This window comes from Homo sapiens, chromosome 10 (assembly GCF_000001405.40).
Source record: "Homo sapiens chromosome 10, GRCh38.p14 Primary Assembly".
NCBI lineage: Eukaryota > Metazoa > Chordata > Mammalia > Primates > Hominidae > Homo > Homo sapiens.
The window spans coordinates 3,453,602-3,471,694 of NC_000010.11; the positions used below are offsets into that span (position 1 = coordinate 3,453,602).

Consider the following 18,093-nt stretch of genomic DNA (forward strand, 5'->3'; position numbering starts at 1 on the left):
GAAGCCTGTATCTCCTCAAGGGTTTTTCTTGGGGACAGTGGACCATGATGTAATTCCTCCCAAGGAAAGTGTAGAGAGCAATAACTCTTGCCGTAGAATACAATATTTTGTAAAACATGCATCAAAATATCAGAACTGAATGTAACCTTTAAGTGAATGTAATTTAACTTCCTCCTCAATTAAAAACCTTCTTTCTGCTGCTGACAGCTGTCCATTCAGCTAACCTGATGTTCTCTATTACTGGTGGCCTATTTATTGCTGCTCAGTCAGGGTTAATAGAAAATTCAGCTGGGCTTGGTGGCTCATGCCTGTAATATCAGCACTTTGGGAGGCCGAGGCGGGCAGGTCATGAGGTCAGGAGTTCAAGATCAGCCTGACCAACATAGTGAAACCCTGTCTTTATTAAAGATACAAAAATTAGCAGGGCGTGGTGGCGGGCACCCATAATCCCAGCTACTTGGGAGGCTGAGGCGGAAGAATCTCTTGAACCCGGGAGGCAGAGGTTGCAGTGAGCCGAGATCATGCCATTGCACTCCAGCCTGGGCTATAGGAGAGAAACTCCGTCTCTAAAAAAAAAAAAAAAAAAGAAAGAAAGAAAAAGAAAAAAAGAGAAAATTCTTCCTTCAGTTTAGCCACGTTGTCCTTCTCCATAACATCCCCAATGGATTCTGTTCTGTCTCATGACCAAGCGGCAGAAACAGGCCCAAGTGTGGTCCTTGCAACGACGGTGCCACTCACAGCACCAGGCCTTCCAGCGGTTGTTTTATTTTATTTTATTTTTACTTTTTTGAGACAGAGTCTCACTCTGTTGCCCAGGCTGGAGTGCAGTGGCACTATCTTGGCTCACTGCAACCTCCGCCTCCCAGGTTCAAGCGATTCTCGTGCCTCAGCCTCCCGAGTATCTGGGATTACAGGTGCGAGCTACCACGCCCAGCTACTTTTTTAGTAGAGATGGGGTTTAGCCATGTTGCCCAGGCTAGTCTCAAACTCCTGAGCTCAGGCAATCCGCCTGCCTCGGCCTCCCAAAGTGCTAGATTACAGGCGTGAGCGACCGCGCCGGCACAGTGGTTGCTTTAAAATTTAATTATTCACTTAAAACATTTCAAAGTGACTTGAGATCTTTCATTCAAAGTTTACACCCATAAATATTTGATGCCATTGGATGGATGCTTTTAGCTTTCTGTAGCTGTGATTTTTACCCCCTAATTTTGTAGATGAAGCTTTTAAAACACTCCACTCATTTGAAATAAAAATAACAAAGGAAAGGCTGAACAAATTCAAGTGTCTTTCCTCTTTTCTGTCTCCTTGCAGGAAAAAATCATATTTCTTGGGCAGAGTGTATATACTGTATCTTTTTCAATGACTGGTTTGAGAATGGAGTTTATGATTCAGGGACCTCAGAAAGGCCGTTGTCTAGGGATAAATTAGATCTAGCTGCAAGTCTGAAGGTGTATGTTTCCAAAATAGTCTTAGGATAAATTAAGCCATTTACTTCTGAGCTGGACTTTTTTTTAATTTAAAAAAATGGATTTTAGGAAACCAAGAAAGCAACATTAACAAAGACCCTGTGAAGCCTGAGAATCTCATTTCCTGATTTCACGGTGTCTTCTAAGTGGCTGCTGGTGGCTAAGGCAGGCCTCATGTTGGCAAATGTTTCTTTCCGTCATACGTGGGTCTTTGGAGACCTGGAGATGGTGCAAAGTCGAATGGATGGCATCCATCCTGTTACTGGGAAATGCGGTCCGGTGGGGTGGGGAAGGTTCCACACACCCACATTCCCCAGGTCACCAGTTACTCTGAGATTTGAAAGCCCTAACAGGGAAAGGACAAGTCCCTGTTCACCGTGCCCCTTGGCAATTGGCTACACATGCATTTGTGTTATCTTTGAGCCCGATCCTCACCACCCCAACCTCACACGGAGACTCCATGACTCTAGACAGAAAGTATGCATTTTCCCATAGGCAAAATTTCCTGCACCAGCAAACTCAAGGTTTTCCCCTGACGTGATTTAGCCTTCCGGCCGCAGTTCCTGCTCTTCCTTCCCCTCACCCTTTCCTGCCTGTGGGGCCCGCTCAAGCTATGCAGAGCAGCTGTGCTGAGTACCACGTTGCTTTATGGTAAATTTCAAAGCCTCAGGGTACAAATTATTTATTGGTAGTTAATTTCCAATTAGTTTTATTAAATTACAGCTGATGACCTCCTTCTACCTGGATTAATTTAACAAAATGCTCATGTTTTTCAAATTATCTTCTCATTTCCACTCTAGATGAGAAATGTAATTTTCAGCTTTGGTTGAAGAAACTTGCATCATATCCTGTCTGCTTTAAGCATTTCGGCAGGTTCAGAATCCACACACACACACACACACAGGCACACACATGCATGCACACACACACACATGCACACACAGGTAAACATATACACATGCACACATGGTTCTACACACTTTTGTTTTGAATGGCCTGGTCAGCTGTGCACTTAGTCTTCCTTCTCTTTTGTCACTAACCATGCTGTGCATTACTGGGCTGAACCCACCAGCCTTACACGTTGTTGGTTCTTGATTTGTGAGAGTGAATCACATAGCTTCACTATGTCTCCAGCTTTCACACACTGGGATACTCATGCATCCACACTGGGGTACACATGCATTCAAACACTGGGATCACACACTGGGGTACTCACGCTCTCACACACTGAGATACGCACGCATCCATGCTGGGGTACTCATGCTCTCACACACTGAGATACGCACGCATTCCCGCTGGGGTACCCACGCTCTCACACACTGAGTTATGCACGCATTCCCGCTGGGGTACTCACACTCTCACACACTGAGATACGCATGCATTCCCACTGGGGTACTGACACTCTCACACACTGAGATACGCACGCATCCATGCTGGGGTACTCACGCTGTCACACACTGAGATACGCATGCATTCCCACTGGGGTACTGACACTCTCACACACTGAGATACGCACGCATTCATGCTGGGGTACTCACGCTGTCACACACTGAGATACGCATGCATTCCCGCTGGGCTATTCACACTCTCACACACTGAGATATGCACGCATTCATGCTGGGGTACTCACGCTCTCACACACTGAGATACGCACGCATTCCCGCTGGGGTCCTCACGCTCTCACACACTGAGATATGCACGCATTCATGCTGGGGTACCCACACTGTCACACATTGAGATATGCACGCATTCCTGCTGGGGTACCCACACTCTCACACACTGAGATACGCACCCATTCCCTCTGGGGTACTCACGCTCTCACACACTGAGATACGCACGCATTCCCACTGGGGTACTCACGCTCTCACACAGTGAGATACGCACGCATTCATGCTGGGGTACTGACGCTCTCACACACTGAGTTATGCACGCATTCCCGCTGGGGTACTCACGCTCTCACACACTGAGATATGCACACATTCATGCTGGGGTACCCACGCTGTCACACACTGAGATACGCATGCATTCATGCTGGGGTACTCACGCTCTCACACACTGAGATACGCACGCATTCATGCTGGGGTACCCACGCTCTCACACACTGAGATACGCACGCATTCATGCTGGGGTACTCACGCTCTCACACAGTAAGATATGCACGCATTCCCGCTGGGGTACTCATGCTCTCACACACTGAGATACGCACGCATTCATGCTGGGGTACCAACGCTCTCACACACTGAGATACGCACGCATTCCCGCTGGGGTACTCATGCTCTCACACACTGAGATATGCACGCATACATGCTGGGGTACTCACGCTCTCACACACTGAGATACGCACGCATTCCCGCTGGGGTACTGATGCTCTCACACACTGAGATATGCACGCATTCATGCTGGGGTACCCACGCTCTCACACACTGAGATACGCACGCATTCCCGCTGGGATACTGACGCTCTCACACACTGAGATACGCACGCATTCATGCTGGGGTACCCACGCTCTCACACACTGAGATACGCATGCATTCCCGCTGGGGTACGCACGCTCTCACAAACTGAGATACGCACACATTCCCGCTGGGGTACTGACGCTCTCACACACTGAGATACGCACGCGTTCATGCTGGGGTACCCACGCTCTCACACACTGAGATATGCATGCATTCATGCTGGGGTACCCACGCTCTCACACACTGAGATACGCCCACATTCATGCTGGGATACTGACGCTCCCACACACTGTTATGCACGCATTCCCGCTGGGGTACTCACGCTCTCACACACTGAGATATGCACGCATTCATGCTAGGGTACCCACGCTGTCACACACTGAGATCTGCACGCATTCATGCTGGGGTACCGACGCTCTCACACACTGAGATATGCACACATTCATGCTGGGGTACCCACGCTGTCACACACTGAGATCTGCACACATTCATGCTGGGGTACCCACGCTCTCACACACTGAGATATGCACGCATTCATGCTGGGGTACCCACGCTGTCACACATTGAGATATGCACGCATTCATGCTGGGGTACCCACGCTCTCACACACTGAGGTACGCACGCATTCCCTCTGGGGTACTCACGCTCTCACACACTGAGATACGCACGCATTCCCATTGGGGTACTCACGATCTCACACAGTGAGATACGCACGCATTCATGCTGGGGTACTGACGCTCTCACACACTGAGATACGCACGCTTTCCCGCTGGGATACTCACGCTCTCACACACTGAGATACGCACGCATTCATGCTGGGGTACTCACGCTCTCACACACTGAGATACGCACGCATTCCCGCTGGGGTACTCACACTCTCACACACTGAGATATGCACACATTCCCGCTGGGGTACTCATGCTCTCAAACACTGAGATATGCACGCATTCATACTGGGGTACCCATGCTCTCACACACTGAGATACGCACGCATTCCCGCTGGGGTACCCACGCTCTCACACACTGAGATATGCACACATTCCCGCTGGGGTACTCATGCTCTCAAACACTGAGATACGCACGCATTCATGCTGGGGTACCCACGCTCTCACACACTGAGATACGCACGCATTCATGCTGGGGTACTCATGGTCTCGCACACTGAAATACACACGCATTCCCGCTGGGGTACTCATGCTCTCGCACACTAAGATATGCACGCATTCCCGCTGGGGTACTCACGCTATCACACACTGAGATATGCACGCATTCATTCTGGGGTACTCACGCTCTCACACACTGAGATACGCACGCATTCATGCTGGGGTACTCATGCTCTCGCCCACTGAAATACACACGCATTACCGCTGGGGTACTCATGCTCTCGCATACTGAGATATGCATGCATCCACACTTCAATACTCATGCGCTCACAAACTGGGATAGTCATGATCTTTTCTGGCTGAACCGGCACCCATCTGGACAGGGTTACCTGCACCCATCTGGGGGTTGACAGCCCTTCCTGTGGCTTTCTCTGCTCCATCCTGCACTCCTGTGGACATTTGGCTTCCAGCTGGCCTGCATGCTGAGGAAACTGTCCTCCCTTGACCTAACTTCCAGACAGAACCACCTCTACTATTCCCATCTGATTTATGTCAAAATTCACACTTGTGCCTGGCGCGGTGGCTCACGCCTGTAATCCCAGCACTTTGGGAGGCCAAGGCAGGTGGATCGCGAGGACAGGAGATCAAGACCATCCTCGCTGACATGGTGAAACCCCGTCTCTACTAAAAATCCAAAAAAAAATTAGCTGGGCATGGTGGCGAGCACCTGTAGTCCCAGGTACTCGGGAGGCTGAGGCAGGAGAATGGCGTGAACCCAGGAGGCGGAGCTTGCAGTGAGCCAAGATCACACCACTTCACTCCAGCCTGGGTAACAGAGTGAGACTCCATCTCAAAAAAAAAAAGAAAAGAATTCACACTTGTAATCCCAGTACTTTAAGAGGCAGAGGCAGGCACGTCACTTGAGGCCAGAAGTTCAAGATTAGCCTGGCCAACTTGCTGAAAACCCATCTCCACTAAAAATAAAAAAAAAAAAATTAGCTGGATGTGGTGACACGTCCCTGTAGTCCCAGCTACTCAGACAGAGTCTAAGACATGAGAATCCCTTGAACCCAGGAGGCAGAGGTTGCAGGGAGCTTAGATTGTGTCACTGCACTCCAGCCTGGGCAACACAGCAAGGCTCTGTTTCAAAAAAAAAAAAAAGTTCATGTCCATGCCAACTTGTTTGTTACTCTTCCCTCTATAGAAATGCTCAAAGAATGCCCTGAATGAGGACCTTGCGGCCTGTACATAGACCAGAAACATCCCCAGAGACCAAATAGCTCCTTCTCTTAGCACTTGATCATATTTTCTTTTCTTTTCTTTTTTGTAGACATGGGGATCTCACTATGTGGCCTAGACTGGTCTCAAACTCCTGGGCTCAGCGATCCTCCCACCTCAGCCTCCCAAAGTGCTGGGATTGGTGTGAGTCACTGTGCCCAGCCCACACATGGTAATTTTTAATGGACGAATAGGAGGGATCTATTACAGAGAAATCAAATGGCGACGTGTTTAAATTCCCGACACATGAAAAATGGGAAAAGATTTTCCTATGCTCTTGTCATTTCTTCTGGCGTCTTATCAGATGATGCATCCTCACTTTCCTAGAGCTGTCTCCTCCTCTTCCCTGCCCTGATCCCAGCTTGACCCAGGAGTCAGAAACACTTGGATGTGTACCTCATTTCTGACATTCAAAAATCCTTCGGTTTCCCAGTTGCCCTTCATCACATGGGGTGATTGTAGTATTTATTTCACAGAGGTGTTGAGTATCTTCTACTTCATGGTGATAGACTATCTGATCAAGTGGAGATACTGCATTAGGTTTCATAAAAATTAGGCAGGAGACTTAGAAAACTTCAACAATGCTCTTCCGGTTCTAATTTCCCATTCTATTGGACATTGATAGAAATCTGTTGTAGCACATACTCATTATTTCCGGAGAGAATAAAGAAATGTTCACTGAAAGGGAGGTATATGATGACGTCTTGGTTATTCACAGGTAATAGCTTCAGATTCACAAACACTCAGGCCCTGGCTCTGCTTACTTAGCTGATGATAAGTTAACTGTTGTTGTATCCAGTGATTACATAAACTGGAAAGGGCCCTATTATGATCAAATATACCCAGAGACATGAGTTGAATGTGATTTTAATATTCTGGCATAATATTACATTTCTGAATTTGAAAGTACCGTGCATGATTACACCACTTCACTTTTATTGAAGAAGGATAATTTGCTTCAGATTAAAGTCCAAACAATGAAATTGCTTATGGAAAAATGACCTTTCTCGTCTTTACATGTACCAAGTAGATTCTCAGGGAAGCCAGCCCAGCAGGGATTCCATTTAACTAACTGAATCCTCAAGACACGCAGAAACCATTATTTACTTTTATTACTCTAAACCAACTGATTTCATCACTAGAAGCCCATGAGTTTTCATAAAGTCACCTTGTTGAGATACTCTTTGTTGTACCCAAAATGGCAACATTAGCTTTTTGATTTTTTTCAACTCTAAGGTTATATATTTTCACCTTAAAAATTCATAGCAAGATCCTTGTTGTGATGTAATCTCATCAACATCTGATACAATCAGGATGTAGAACCTGGTTTAAAATCTTGTTCCCACACCTCAGAGAAGGCTGAACATTCATGGTGTGTGATGATATATTTTGGTTTGTTATTTGCTTCTTTCTGGAGTGAGGGGGTCTTATGTATTTTTATATATTCTTAAATATGCCTATTAAGATGCATCATGGTTAGGACAGTGTCATTAACTTCTAAAGAATCATCTGGACTAATATGTATAGCTAATACACATAAACAGTATAATAAAGGAATATAAAGATGAAAATAATAGAATTTGTCTAAATGAGTATTCTACAATTAGCTGCCTCCAAAGCAAGAATATATAGCAAGAAACATGCTTGCAACATCTTTTGCTTCTATGAGCTTATGGATCTAGGGTCTTAAACAAGACTTGAGGCATCGGTACCTTTATTCTACAGATGGTGCATGACAAGTCTGGCTCTAGGTGAAGATGAAAGCACATACCTCCTCTGTTTTTTTTTTTAATTATATGACATTAATTCTTGTCAAGATCTGTGAAGGAGCTGAGACTTTGCCCCACTTGTACACTAACTTGGTTAGCCTGATGCCATTTCATGGTTTCTGGTAGAGGATGTGAGGTTCCCAGGTTGCAGGTAAAGGACAATTTATTATCACAGCAATTACAGTTGTCTAGATATCATTTCTATTATGCTGGTTCCCAAAACTCAGTTCCCACAAGGCAGCACAAAGAGCCAAGTGATACTTGCATACACACTGGGCTACATCACAAGGGTGGAAACCAAAGATGATGGGTCCCAGATCTTTTATGGCATGATCCTCTAGGGGGAGGCAGGATCCATATTCCCAGGCTGCAAGTGGATTGGTCCTTTTCTCTGAAGGAGACATGATCATTGTCACCCAAGTTGTTCACTCTACAAACTTCCTTGAGAAGATTGTCCAAAGCAAAGGTAACCTGTGCCTCTGCTCACAGGACAGGCAGAAACCCAAGAGACCCATGGACAATGGGCTCCACTGTACCACATCACAACCTGTAGGTACAATAGGAAACCCAAGAGGCCCATGAACAATGGTCTCCCAACACTGTACCACATCACAACCTGTAGGTACAATAGGAAACCCAAGAGGCCCATGAACAATGGTCTCCCAACACTGTACCACATCGTAACTTATAGCTACAATAAGAAACCCAAGAGACCCATGAACAATGGTCTCACAACACCATATCACATCACAACTTGTAGGTACAATAAGAAACCCAAGAGACCACGAACAATGGTCTCCCAACACCGTAGCACATCGCAACTTGTAGGTACAATAAGAAACCCAGGAGACACCATACCACATCACAACCTGTAGGTACAATAGGAAACCCAAGAGACCCATGAACAATGGTCTCCCAACACCGTACCACATCACAATATGTAGCTACAATAAGCTACTTGCACCATAATGAGGATGACTTTCCTATCATTATTTCTGTCTTTAGGCATGTTTGTATTTTAAAATCAGCATGGCTAGTTTATAGAATAAGAGAGTTTGTGTTGTTGCAGAAATCTCAAGCTTTAATCAATAAGTTAATACTGAGTCTAGAGGCCAGGAGGACTTGCCTATATTATGCTTCCCATATTAGGAAATTGCTGCAGGTAGAGACTACATTTTCCAGCCTGCCTTGCTGTCAGAAGCATCCACACCAGCAAGTTTTGGTAATGAATGAAAGCAGAAGGGAAGTGAGTTACTTCCAAACTGGATCCAGCAGGACTTTCCATGAACCTCTTCTCCATATTCTTTAGATGATTATAGGGTGAACTTAGAAGGTAAATGGGGAAGATTGCAGGGTCTTTGTGTAGATGTTGATCATTCAGTAATTTATTCACTTACATAATTCTGTTATGTTACTTTTTTGTGTTTAAGCTACCATGCATTTTTGGGTCTGCTCATTGTAGGAACCCGCCTGCTGTAACTTATATATATAAGATGCACTGGTTAGGAGTGATCCTGGAGGTATGGGGCCCAGTCTCCCAGCCACCCAGCATCTTCATTTAGTCCTTCATAATCTAGATAATGTGTTTTATTAGAGATTTCAGAATCCTTGTTTTTTTTATAGCAGAATGTAAAGTAAATTAAAATAAAAAATACAAGAGGGTAAAGGGAACAGAAATGCTAAGTTACTCACATACCTTCCATATGCTTGGGGATATATAAGTTATGCCATCCTAAGATTGATGACTTGCCTAGATATGCCTACTGTTAAAGAAAAGGTTCTGCTGACCCTTAAGATGGCATGGAAGATCTTATTCAACGGGACTACTGCAATGACTAGGAAAGACACATTGGGTTCAACTTCAAATACAAAAATGAAAAGTGAGAATTTACAGCCTTGGAGCAGGGTCGGGGGTCAGTGAATGGAAAATTACTAAGAGGGAACATCGGGGGAAAAAATTCTGGATAAATGGGCTGGACAGGAGTCTTGTTGAAGGCAGTTCAATGTGGGCAGATGTCAACTGAGGGATGCTGAGGAGTGAGGGTTGTGATCAGCTACGAAGAGTGATTGGAATCAAGGGTAGGGGACTCTCATTGAACTGACTTGAACAAGATTCTTGTTCTTAAGAAATAGGCCCAAGGACAGGCCTTGAAAGACAGCTTAGGGGAGGTTGACCAAGGTCAGGTCAGGGAGAGAGCCTTTTCAGTATTCAGGGTCTAGATTAGACAGTTGGATGGGCATCTTCATTGTTCAGACAGCACTATCTTTGTTTGCTAGTGTATTAAAAATAAGACATTTAACAAAACTCAAAATAATAATTTAAAAAGTTGGTAGCCACTTGGTTTGTGTATCGTTTTATGTTTAGTGATGATCCTAAGTCTTAGCTTACAAATGTCCATGGCTAAGAAGAATTCCATTAAGGGGGAGATGCCAGTGCACCCACTGGGCACTCATTAATTAGGAAATAAATGCATAACTAACTAAATATGGTTTGCAATGCCATATATTGATAGAAATAGGGGTCGGCAAACTTTATCTGTAAGGAGCCAAAAAGTAAATGCTCTGGAGGCCGGGTGGTCTCCACGGTAACTGCTCACTGGTGTTGTGTAGATGGAGCAGCCACTGAGACATGAGCGTGGCTGTCTTCCCATAAAACATGACCAATCATGAATCTAAAGAGTCTGTATGCTTGGGTGTGTAGGAGTCTTGTGTTTCACTAGAAAACTGCATGATCTAGAGCACACCTTTCAGGGTTATCAGAATTCAACCCTGTGCATTAATTTTGCATTCCTATGCAATTCTTTGTAAATTATAGGCAGCTTACACAAACTATAGGACAGATGTGCAAATTCTGTACTTGCTGATAGTGGTTTCATTGACCTCCTCTCCGTCCAATTTCATGCTTATTTGCAGTTGATCTCAATGTTCCTTTGCTGCATATATTTTATGTGTCATTTTGATTTTTTCTTTGAATCGGTTATAACATCTGTTTAATTCCCTCACATCCTACGAGTTAAATATATTCTTAAACATCTATTTATTTATATGTGTATGAGAATGATAATTTTACCTTTTCTAAAAACTACTTTTTAACTGTGCGTATCTGCATGTGTTTAATGATCAGAAGTGATCAGTAGTTTGGAATTAACCTTCCTTTCGGATTAAATCAGTCTGGTATTTCACAGGTGTGTGTGTGTGTGTAAGGCAGTTGTTCCTGTCCACAATTTCGCAAGTAGGTGGTGACAGCATTGTGTTTACATAGCATTTTCAAAAGTGCTTTCCTAACCATAATCTCATGGGCTTCTTTCAACGCCTCTCTGGGCTTTGTTAGGACAAATGATTATCAAAATTTTATCGAGAAGGAAAGGGTGACACATAGAAATGTAAGTGGTTAGAGGAAGAACAAAACAGGTTATAAAAGGATTTCCACGTCTTGCTGGAGAAAAAGCCTTATTGAACATATTAAGCCTGGTAACCACCCACTCCCCTTTCTGTGTGTGAATTCTGACTGAGCGAGATGAACACTCTTCCCAACTTCTCTGTGCTAGCCTGGGATTAGCCTAACTGCGCTGCCTTTTCTGGTGCAGGCTGAAGAGCGTGTCACAGTTGAACTCTGGAGTTTACTTGGGTTGGTCTGTGTTTATGACAAGTATGGAACTCATTCAAAAGTTACCAAAGCTGTACTTTTCTCATTCTCTGAGTCTCCCTCATCAGCAGGGTGAAGTCCTCATATTATGGTCTTATAACTGTCAACCTGATGAGCATTTTTTAAAGTGATCTCTGGACAAACATTCTCCTGGCTGTGAGGACAAGCTGCAGTTCGGACCAGCCTCCTGTGGAAGCAAACATGCAGTCACTGGCCTCCAGAGTTTGGCTTAACACAGCTCTTCCTCTTCCTGAAAGTTACAGCAGGAAGCCGTTTTCAACGTTGCTTGTAAAACTGTAACTTCAGCATTACACAAACTTCAGGAATGAAAGCTCACCTGCAGGAACATGAGTGAATATAAACAGGGGTGCCTAGAACCACTGCTCACAGCTAGAAGCCTGCGCGGGAGATGGGGGTGACAGGATAGGAACGGGGCGGCTCAGGCCCCAGCCATGGCACCATCACAGAGTGCGTGCCTCCCTCCTGTTTTCATGCACGTGGCACATGCCGGAGGCAGCCAGGTCACCAAGTGGTCAGAGCTTTCCTCTGCTTTACACCACGTAGGACCCATCTGAGCATTTTCCGGAATAATTATAGGGTGATTTTTCAGGGAACGTGGGCAGTGTTTCTATTTTCAACTTTAAGTTTCATGGAGGAAATTTTTAGAGTAAATGGTGTTATGTATATGGCTATATTTCAGCTAAAATCTGTATTCAGTTGGTTTAAGATTTGAAGGAAAGAATAAGGAGATTATAGATTGGAGACTGGCTTCTCAGGAAGTTTCTACAGAATCTAATCTTATCTCATTGCTTGTATTTGTACTTCTCTATTCAGAAACAACTAACAATATAGAGTTTTTCATCTTTTCGGAACCATTAGAGTTTGTTCTTTTTTTTTTTTTTTTTTTTTTTTTTTTTTTTTTGTGAGACGGAGTCTCGCTCCGTTGCCCAGGCTGGAATGCAGTGGCCTGATCTCAGCTCACTGCAAGCTCCACCTCCCGTGTTTATGCCATTCTCCTGCCTCAGCCTTCCGAGTAGCTGGGACTACAGGCGCCCACCACCATGCTTAGCTAATTTTTTGTATTTTTAGTAAAGACGGGGTTTCACCGTGTTAGCCAGGATGGTCTCGATCTCCTGACGTCATGATCTGCCTGCCTCGGCCTCCCAAAGTGCTGGAGGCCGTGAGCCACCAGCTACAGGCGTGAGCCACCGTGCCTGACCTCGACTTTGTTCTTAAAAATGTAAAAATATCTATTTTTTTGCAGTTTTCCCTTTTGGCAATAAAAGTATCATTATATATTAGGTCTTTAATATATATAATGCCATTAATAGATATAGACTTTATTAATGAATGTTAGAATATATAATGTGTGTGTATATTATATATTCTAACATTCAGTGTATATATATATATATACACACACACACATTATATATTCTAACATTCAGTGTATGTATATAAATATACACACACATTGTATACTCTAACAGTCATTAATAAAGTCTATATAGAATGAAAATTATGACATTTAGGTTCTTACTGACTGAAGCCATTTTAAATATTAGATGTTAGTGTAACTTTTTTGATTGTTCACAGACTATTCAATGTCTGAAGTTGTTTTACTATCTTCAAGGGCAAAATAAAATTCTTTGTACACTTGCTTGAGTTTTCTTTGTTTACCTTGAGGATGAGCTGGTGAAGACTTAAAGGCAAATTGAATGCATCTGGTTTCAGATCCAATGAGTGCAGCTCACAGAGGGTTTTCTTAAAAAGGCATTTGTATCTTTTGTAGAAGCACATTGGAGATCTTTCACAAGCCCTTGAAGAAGTCAGGAATAAAAAGTTGCAACTTCCCCGGGAGAGAGCAACTCTGACCCTAAAAGTTAACGTTACATCCCAAACGTGGAAAACAGGAAATTTCAGATGGGTTTTGGCAAAACACATAGTGCCACTCCTTCTCTTGGTGTGCTAAGTTTTCCCAAGTCTGTGTACTCCTTATAGCGCAGGAATTCTCCAAAGGCCAACATTTCAGTTCCAGAAAGAGAAATAGAATCAACGGCAACAACAACAAAACAACTTTACCAAGAGCAAGCAAATTGCCTCGTCTTGGTGACTCCTCTGCAAAACTGCAAATTCCACCCCCGTGCGGCGGGGCAGGACATCTCCCAGACAGCTGGGGACACCCTTTCCAGCGGGAGCGGGAGGCGCTGTTGTTCAGGAAAGGAAGTTGTGTGTTTGTGAATGAGCGCACTTTGTGGTTCATGTGTTTGGGCAGGACAAACTACACCACAGGGTTGGGCGGGGCTGTGTGTGCTGGGCACGTACGCTTCTTTGTTTTGTCAGCTTCCCGAGAGATCAGGGAGAGCATAGATATATCCCTTTTTCAGTTCAGAGGAAAACACCTAACAACAACCTCAACAAACACAACAACAACAGCAAAAGGACGAAGCGTGAGCCAGAAATTCCATCTGCGTGAGTATGCTGGGAAAAGCCTGGCGAGGAATCCTGGTTGGTGAAAAACAGATTCGGTGCTTATTGTTCTGCTCTGTAAGTCACCAAAGAAATGTGGGCGTGTGCTGCTGGAAAGAAAATAGACTTCCACAAAAAGTATGAATCACTTTTGTTAATTGTCAAAGAAAATATATATTAAGTGATTACTTAGCTTCTGGAATTAAAACAAAATGAAAACAAACAAGCATCCTCTGTCTCTCAATACTTTTAAAACTGAAGATGGCAAAATAAGGCAAACCAAAGCCACCAGTGCATCTTGGCATGGTCAGCAGAGGAGGGCAAGTTTTCTAAAACCTTAAAAAGTATCTTGGTGTCATGAGCCTTAGAGTTATTTGAAATGCAGTTATGTGAAACCCCCCTCTATCTTTCATGAAGCCTCAGAAAGGAGTCCAGGGAGCCGGGGTTTGTGGAAGTTAGAATTTATCTGATGATCCAGAGCTGCTTCTCCCCCACGATAGGTCACCGTGAATCGGAGTATTTTGTGGTTGGCCTTTTCAAACAGGCAAGCATTTGGTGGTTTGTCTTTTGTTTAATTTGTTACCAGATCACACAAGATATTTTTCAACAGAATTTCAGAAAGCATCTTGGGAAATCCACAAAAATGGGCTGAGTCATCTAACCAGAAACAGTCCACACCACATCTGACTCTGAATGCCTGGCTTTTCTTTCTTTGGGGAGAAAGTTCTCAGCATCAGTTGGATGAAAGGGCAGGGAAGTCGAGATTGATTTGGGGTTTACAGGGACATAAAGAGAAATTACCAGCCCCAGACTCTGAAAATTTTTAAGGTATCAGAAAAGTGCTTGTGATAGAACCTGATGATTGCTTTTGGTGCCTGGGATGGTTATTAAGGGTCAAAATAATGTGGAGATGCCATCATGGAAAAGTGACTGTGATATGAATCTGTTGCTAAAAATGATGATTTCAAGGAGCAGAATGACATTCCATCCACCTATGACACGCACTTCACATTTGGTTAAGGGTTAGGCCAAGAGCTTTTTTTCTTTCTTTCTTTCTTTCTTTCTTTCTTTCTTTCTTTCTTTCTTTCTTTCTTTCTTTCTCTCTCTCTCTCTCTTTCTTTCTTTCTTTCTTTCTCCCTCTCTCTCTCTCTCTCTCCTCTTTCTTTCTTTCTTTCTTTCTTTTTGTACAGCTCTTGCAGCTCTAAACCCACAAAGCAGGTTAGGTTTCCTCTGGCCTGTGACCTAATCTTTAGTATTAGAGGAGGCACTGATTTGTTTGCTCTGATGTAAGCCCAAAGGGAATTTGGCTTCTTGATTTATAACAGGATTGGGTTTCAGGCCTCTAACAGTTAAAACCGGTCTTCAGCAGAGACTCAAGCAGGGGGAATGAAAGTTACACAGTGCGTGGATTAGTCCTTTGGTGTTTTTGACACAGTTTCTTTTCATAGGAGAATCTTATTTCAAATAGGGAGGCGTTTCCCCGTTTTAGAAAATGCTTGTGAAATGCATGACTCATTACGCCCTTGCAAAGAGCCAAAAAAAGTTCTGCAGAGTCTAGGACAGGACTAAACCGCAGCTAAGTCTAATATTTCAGTCTTGCTGAAACAGCTGTTCCCACTCGGGTCCGAGAGCGGGTGGGAGTAGAGATGGTGTGTGGGGGGGTCCCCACTTCAGTTCCCCAAAGCATCAGCTGCTCCCTGTCTTGAACAGAATCAGCTCCAACAGGGAGAGGCTTGGACATGCCCGCCATTGACGCTGCCAGGCCTCGAACTCTCCTGAGAGTTGGATTTTTCCCAGTCTGTGCTATCTCACTCTTATTTGAGGAATTTGAGTCAGAGCAAAATGTGGGCAGAGAAGGAGAAGGAACACCAACACCTCAATTATTGAGGGAAAAGACGTGCAGGTTTTCTGTAGCAGTGAACCTGAAGGAAGACACTGCTTTGTGTCTGGCTCCCAAAGAAAAAGGCCAAGTTGATCTTTCCTGTGAAACAGCTGAAGGTACCACCTTGAAAACTGGATGTTTTCCCAACTGTGGGCCAAGTTTCAGCTTGAATACAGTCATCCTCGGTATCCCTGGGGAACTGGCTCCAGCACACCCTCCCCACAACATCAGTGACTACCCAAATCCACAAAATGGTGTAGTGTTTGCATATAACTGATGCACATCCTCCTGTTTGCTTTAAATCATCTCTACATACCTTATATCTAATACAAGATAAATGCCATTGAAATAGTCGTTGTACTGTATTTTTTGTTTGTATTATTGTTATTGTTTTTTTTTTTTTTTTGAGATGGAGTCTTACTCTGTCACCCAGGCTGGAGTGCAGTGGTGCCATCTCAGCGCACTACAGCTTCCGCCTCCTGTGTTCAGGCCATTCTTGTGCCTCAGCCTCCCAAGTAGCTGGGACTACAGGCATGCACAACCATGCCGGGCTAATTTTTGTACTTTTAGTAGAGACAGGGTTTTACCATGTTGACCAGGCTGGTGTCGAACTCCTGACCTCAAGTGATCCACCTGCCTTTGCATTCCAAAGTGCTGGGATTACAGACTTGAGTCACCGTGCCGGGCCGTGTTATTTTGTATAGTTTGTTCCATCTGCGGTTGGTTGAATCCACTGATGTGGGACTCCAGTATATGGGCAGCGGGCTGTGTGTCACTGGCCCCGTGTTAATAGGTACCTGTGTTTTCCTATTTGCTGTTATGTCAACAAAAACCGAGAACAATCCCTTCTAAGGGTGACTGCTTTTAGCTTCAAAATCAAGAACACTAAAACTCCAGCATCCATAGGAAAGTATCGCACGGACTTAACCATATCATCTTCCTGAGAAATGGATGGAGGCCAGGTGTGCTACCCGTCACTGAGCTTTATCCGGGGAGAGAGAACCAGGTGAGTATTGCCAGGTGGTGTTGGAAAGCAACAGCAGCCATCCCCATACGCGGGAGAGGGTCCCAACCACATGTGGGGAGATGATTTAAAGGAAACAGGAGGATGTGCATCAGTTATATGCAAACACTACACCATTTTGTGGATTTGGGTAGTCACTGATGTTGTGGGGAGAGAGAGAGAGAGAGAGAGAGAGAGAGGGAGAGGGAGAGAGAGAGAGAGAGAGAGAGAGAGAGAGAGAGAGAGAGAGAGAGAGAGAGAGAGAGAGAGAGGCTTCCGTCCTCAGACCCAGAACAAGACTTCAGCATCTCAATAGCAGCAGGGAGTGGAACCTACTATTACTTTTTTTTTTTTTTCCTGATACAAACCATGCACTGAGTTTCAAAAGGGAATTTTTGGCTAGGTGTGGTGGCTCCCTCCTGTAATCCCAGCACTTTGGGAGGCCAAGGTGGGTGGATCACTCGAGGTCAGGAGTTCGAGACCTGCCTGGCCAACATGGTGAAACCCCGTCTGTACTAAAAATACAAAAATTAGCTGGGCAGGGTGGCGAGCACCTGTAATCCAAGCTACTCGGGAATCTGAAGCAGGAGAATCACTTGAACCCGGGAGGCGGAGGTTGCAGTGAGCCGAGATCACATCACCTCACTCTAACCTGGGTAACAGGCTCTGTCTCAAAAAAAAAAAAAAAAAGGGAAATTTTTATTTATTGTTTACTAAGAAACACCATAAAATATTTTTGGAGTGTGTGTGTGTATGTGTGTGTAGTCAAAAACCACAGAATAATTGACACATGCCTTTTTGACAATCTTGTCTCTTAACACTGAGTTCAAAACACACTGACGCTGTCCTGAGAGGCCACCGACAGAGAGAAGCAGGGCCCCCTCTATAGAAGCCGTTTCTTGGGAAAGGTCCAGATTTCTCCCAGCACTTCCTCCTCTATTCTCTCTGTTATTCATGCTACATCGGACATCCCATGCTGCGACTTCCCCCTCTTCAAATGGATTTTCAACAAAGTCTCTCT

At 44.5% G+C, this 18,093-nt stretch overlaps 3 long non-coding RNA genes across 3 annotated transcripts in view, besides 4 other annotated features; 2 read left to right on the forward strand and 1 right to left on the reverse strand.

Annotated features, from left to right (window-relative positions):
* The window catches only part of LOC105376360 (uncharacterized), a 432,070-nt gene that overhangs the window by 134,907 nt on the left and 279,070 nt on the right, over window positions 1-18,093 (forward strand). The gene's annotated exons all lie outside the window — the stretch shown is intronic.
* LINC02669 (long intergenic non-protein coding RNA 2669) overlaps window positions 1-18,093 on the reverse strand; it is a 69,327-nt gene that overhangs the window by 20,090 nt on the left and 31,144 nt on the right. The gene's annotated exons all lie outside the window — the stretch shown is intronic.
* Window positions 1-18,093, forward strand: part of LOC124902538 (uncharacterized) — a 51,559-nt gene that overhangs the window by 3,968 nt on the left and 29,498 nt on the right. The window lies entirely within an intron of this gene.
* Window positions 2,499-3,042: an enhancer, noted in NCBI's record as "H3K27ac hESC enhancer chr10:3498292-3498835 (GRCh37/hg19 assembly coordinates)". NCBI's record gives its function as "activates a minimal SCP1, AML or CMV promoter by ChIP-STARR-seq in primed H9 embryonic stem cells {active_cell/tissue: H9 hESC(primed)}" and the evidence as "EXISTENCE:reporter gene assay evidence [ECO:0000049][PMID:30033119]".
* Window positions 3,586-4,128: an enhancer, noted in NCBI's record as "H3K27ac hESC enhancer chr10:3499379-3499921 (GRCh37/hg19 assembly coordinates)". NCBI's record gives its function as "activates a minimal SCP1, AML or CMV promoter by ChIP-STARR-seq in primed H9 embryonic stem cells {active_cell/tissue: H9 hESC(primed)}" and the evidence as "EXISTENCE:reporter gene assay evidence [ECO:0000049][PMID:30033119]".
* Window positions 4,129-4,670: an enhancer, noted in NCBI's record as "H3K27ac hESC enhancer chr10:3499922-3500463 (GRCh37/hg19 assembly coordinates)". NCBI's record gives its function as "activates a minimal SCP1, AML or CMV promoter by ChIP-STARR-seq in primed H9 embryonic stem cells {active_cell/tissue: H9 hESC(primed)}" and the evidence as "EXISTENCE:reporter gene assay evidence [ECO:0000049][PMID:30033119]".
* Window positions 13,707-14,906: an enhancer, noted in NCBI's record as "P300/CBP strongly-dependent group 1 enhancer chr10:3509500-3510699 (GRCh37/hg19 assembly coordinates)". NCBI's record gives its function as "activates an origin of replication core promoter dependent on BRD2, BRD4, P300/CBP, MED14 and CDK7 cofactors, with strong dependence on P300/CBP, by STARR-seq in HCT116 cells {active_cell/tissue: HCT116}" and the evidence as "EXISTENCE:reporter gene assay evidence [ECO:0000049][PMID:35650434]".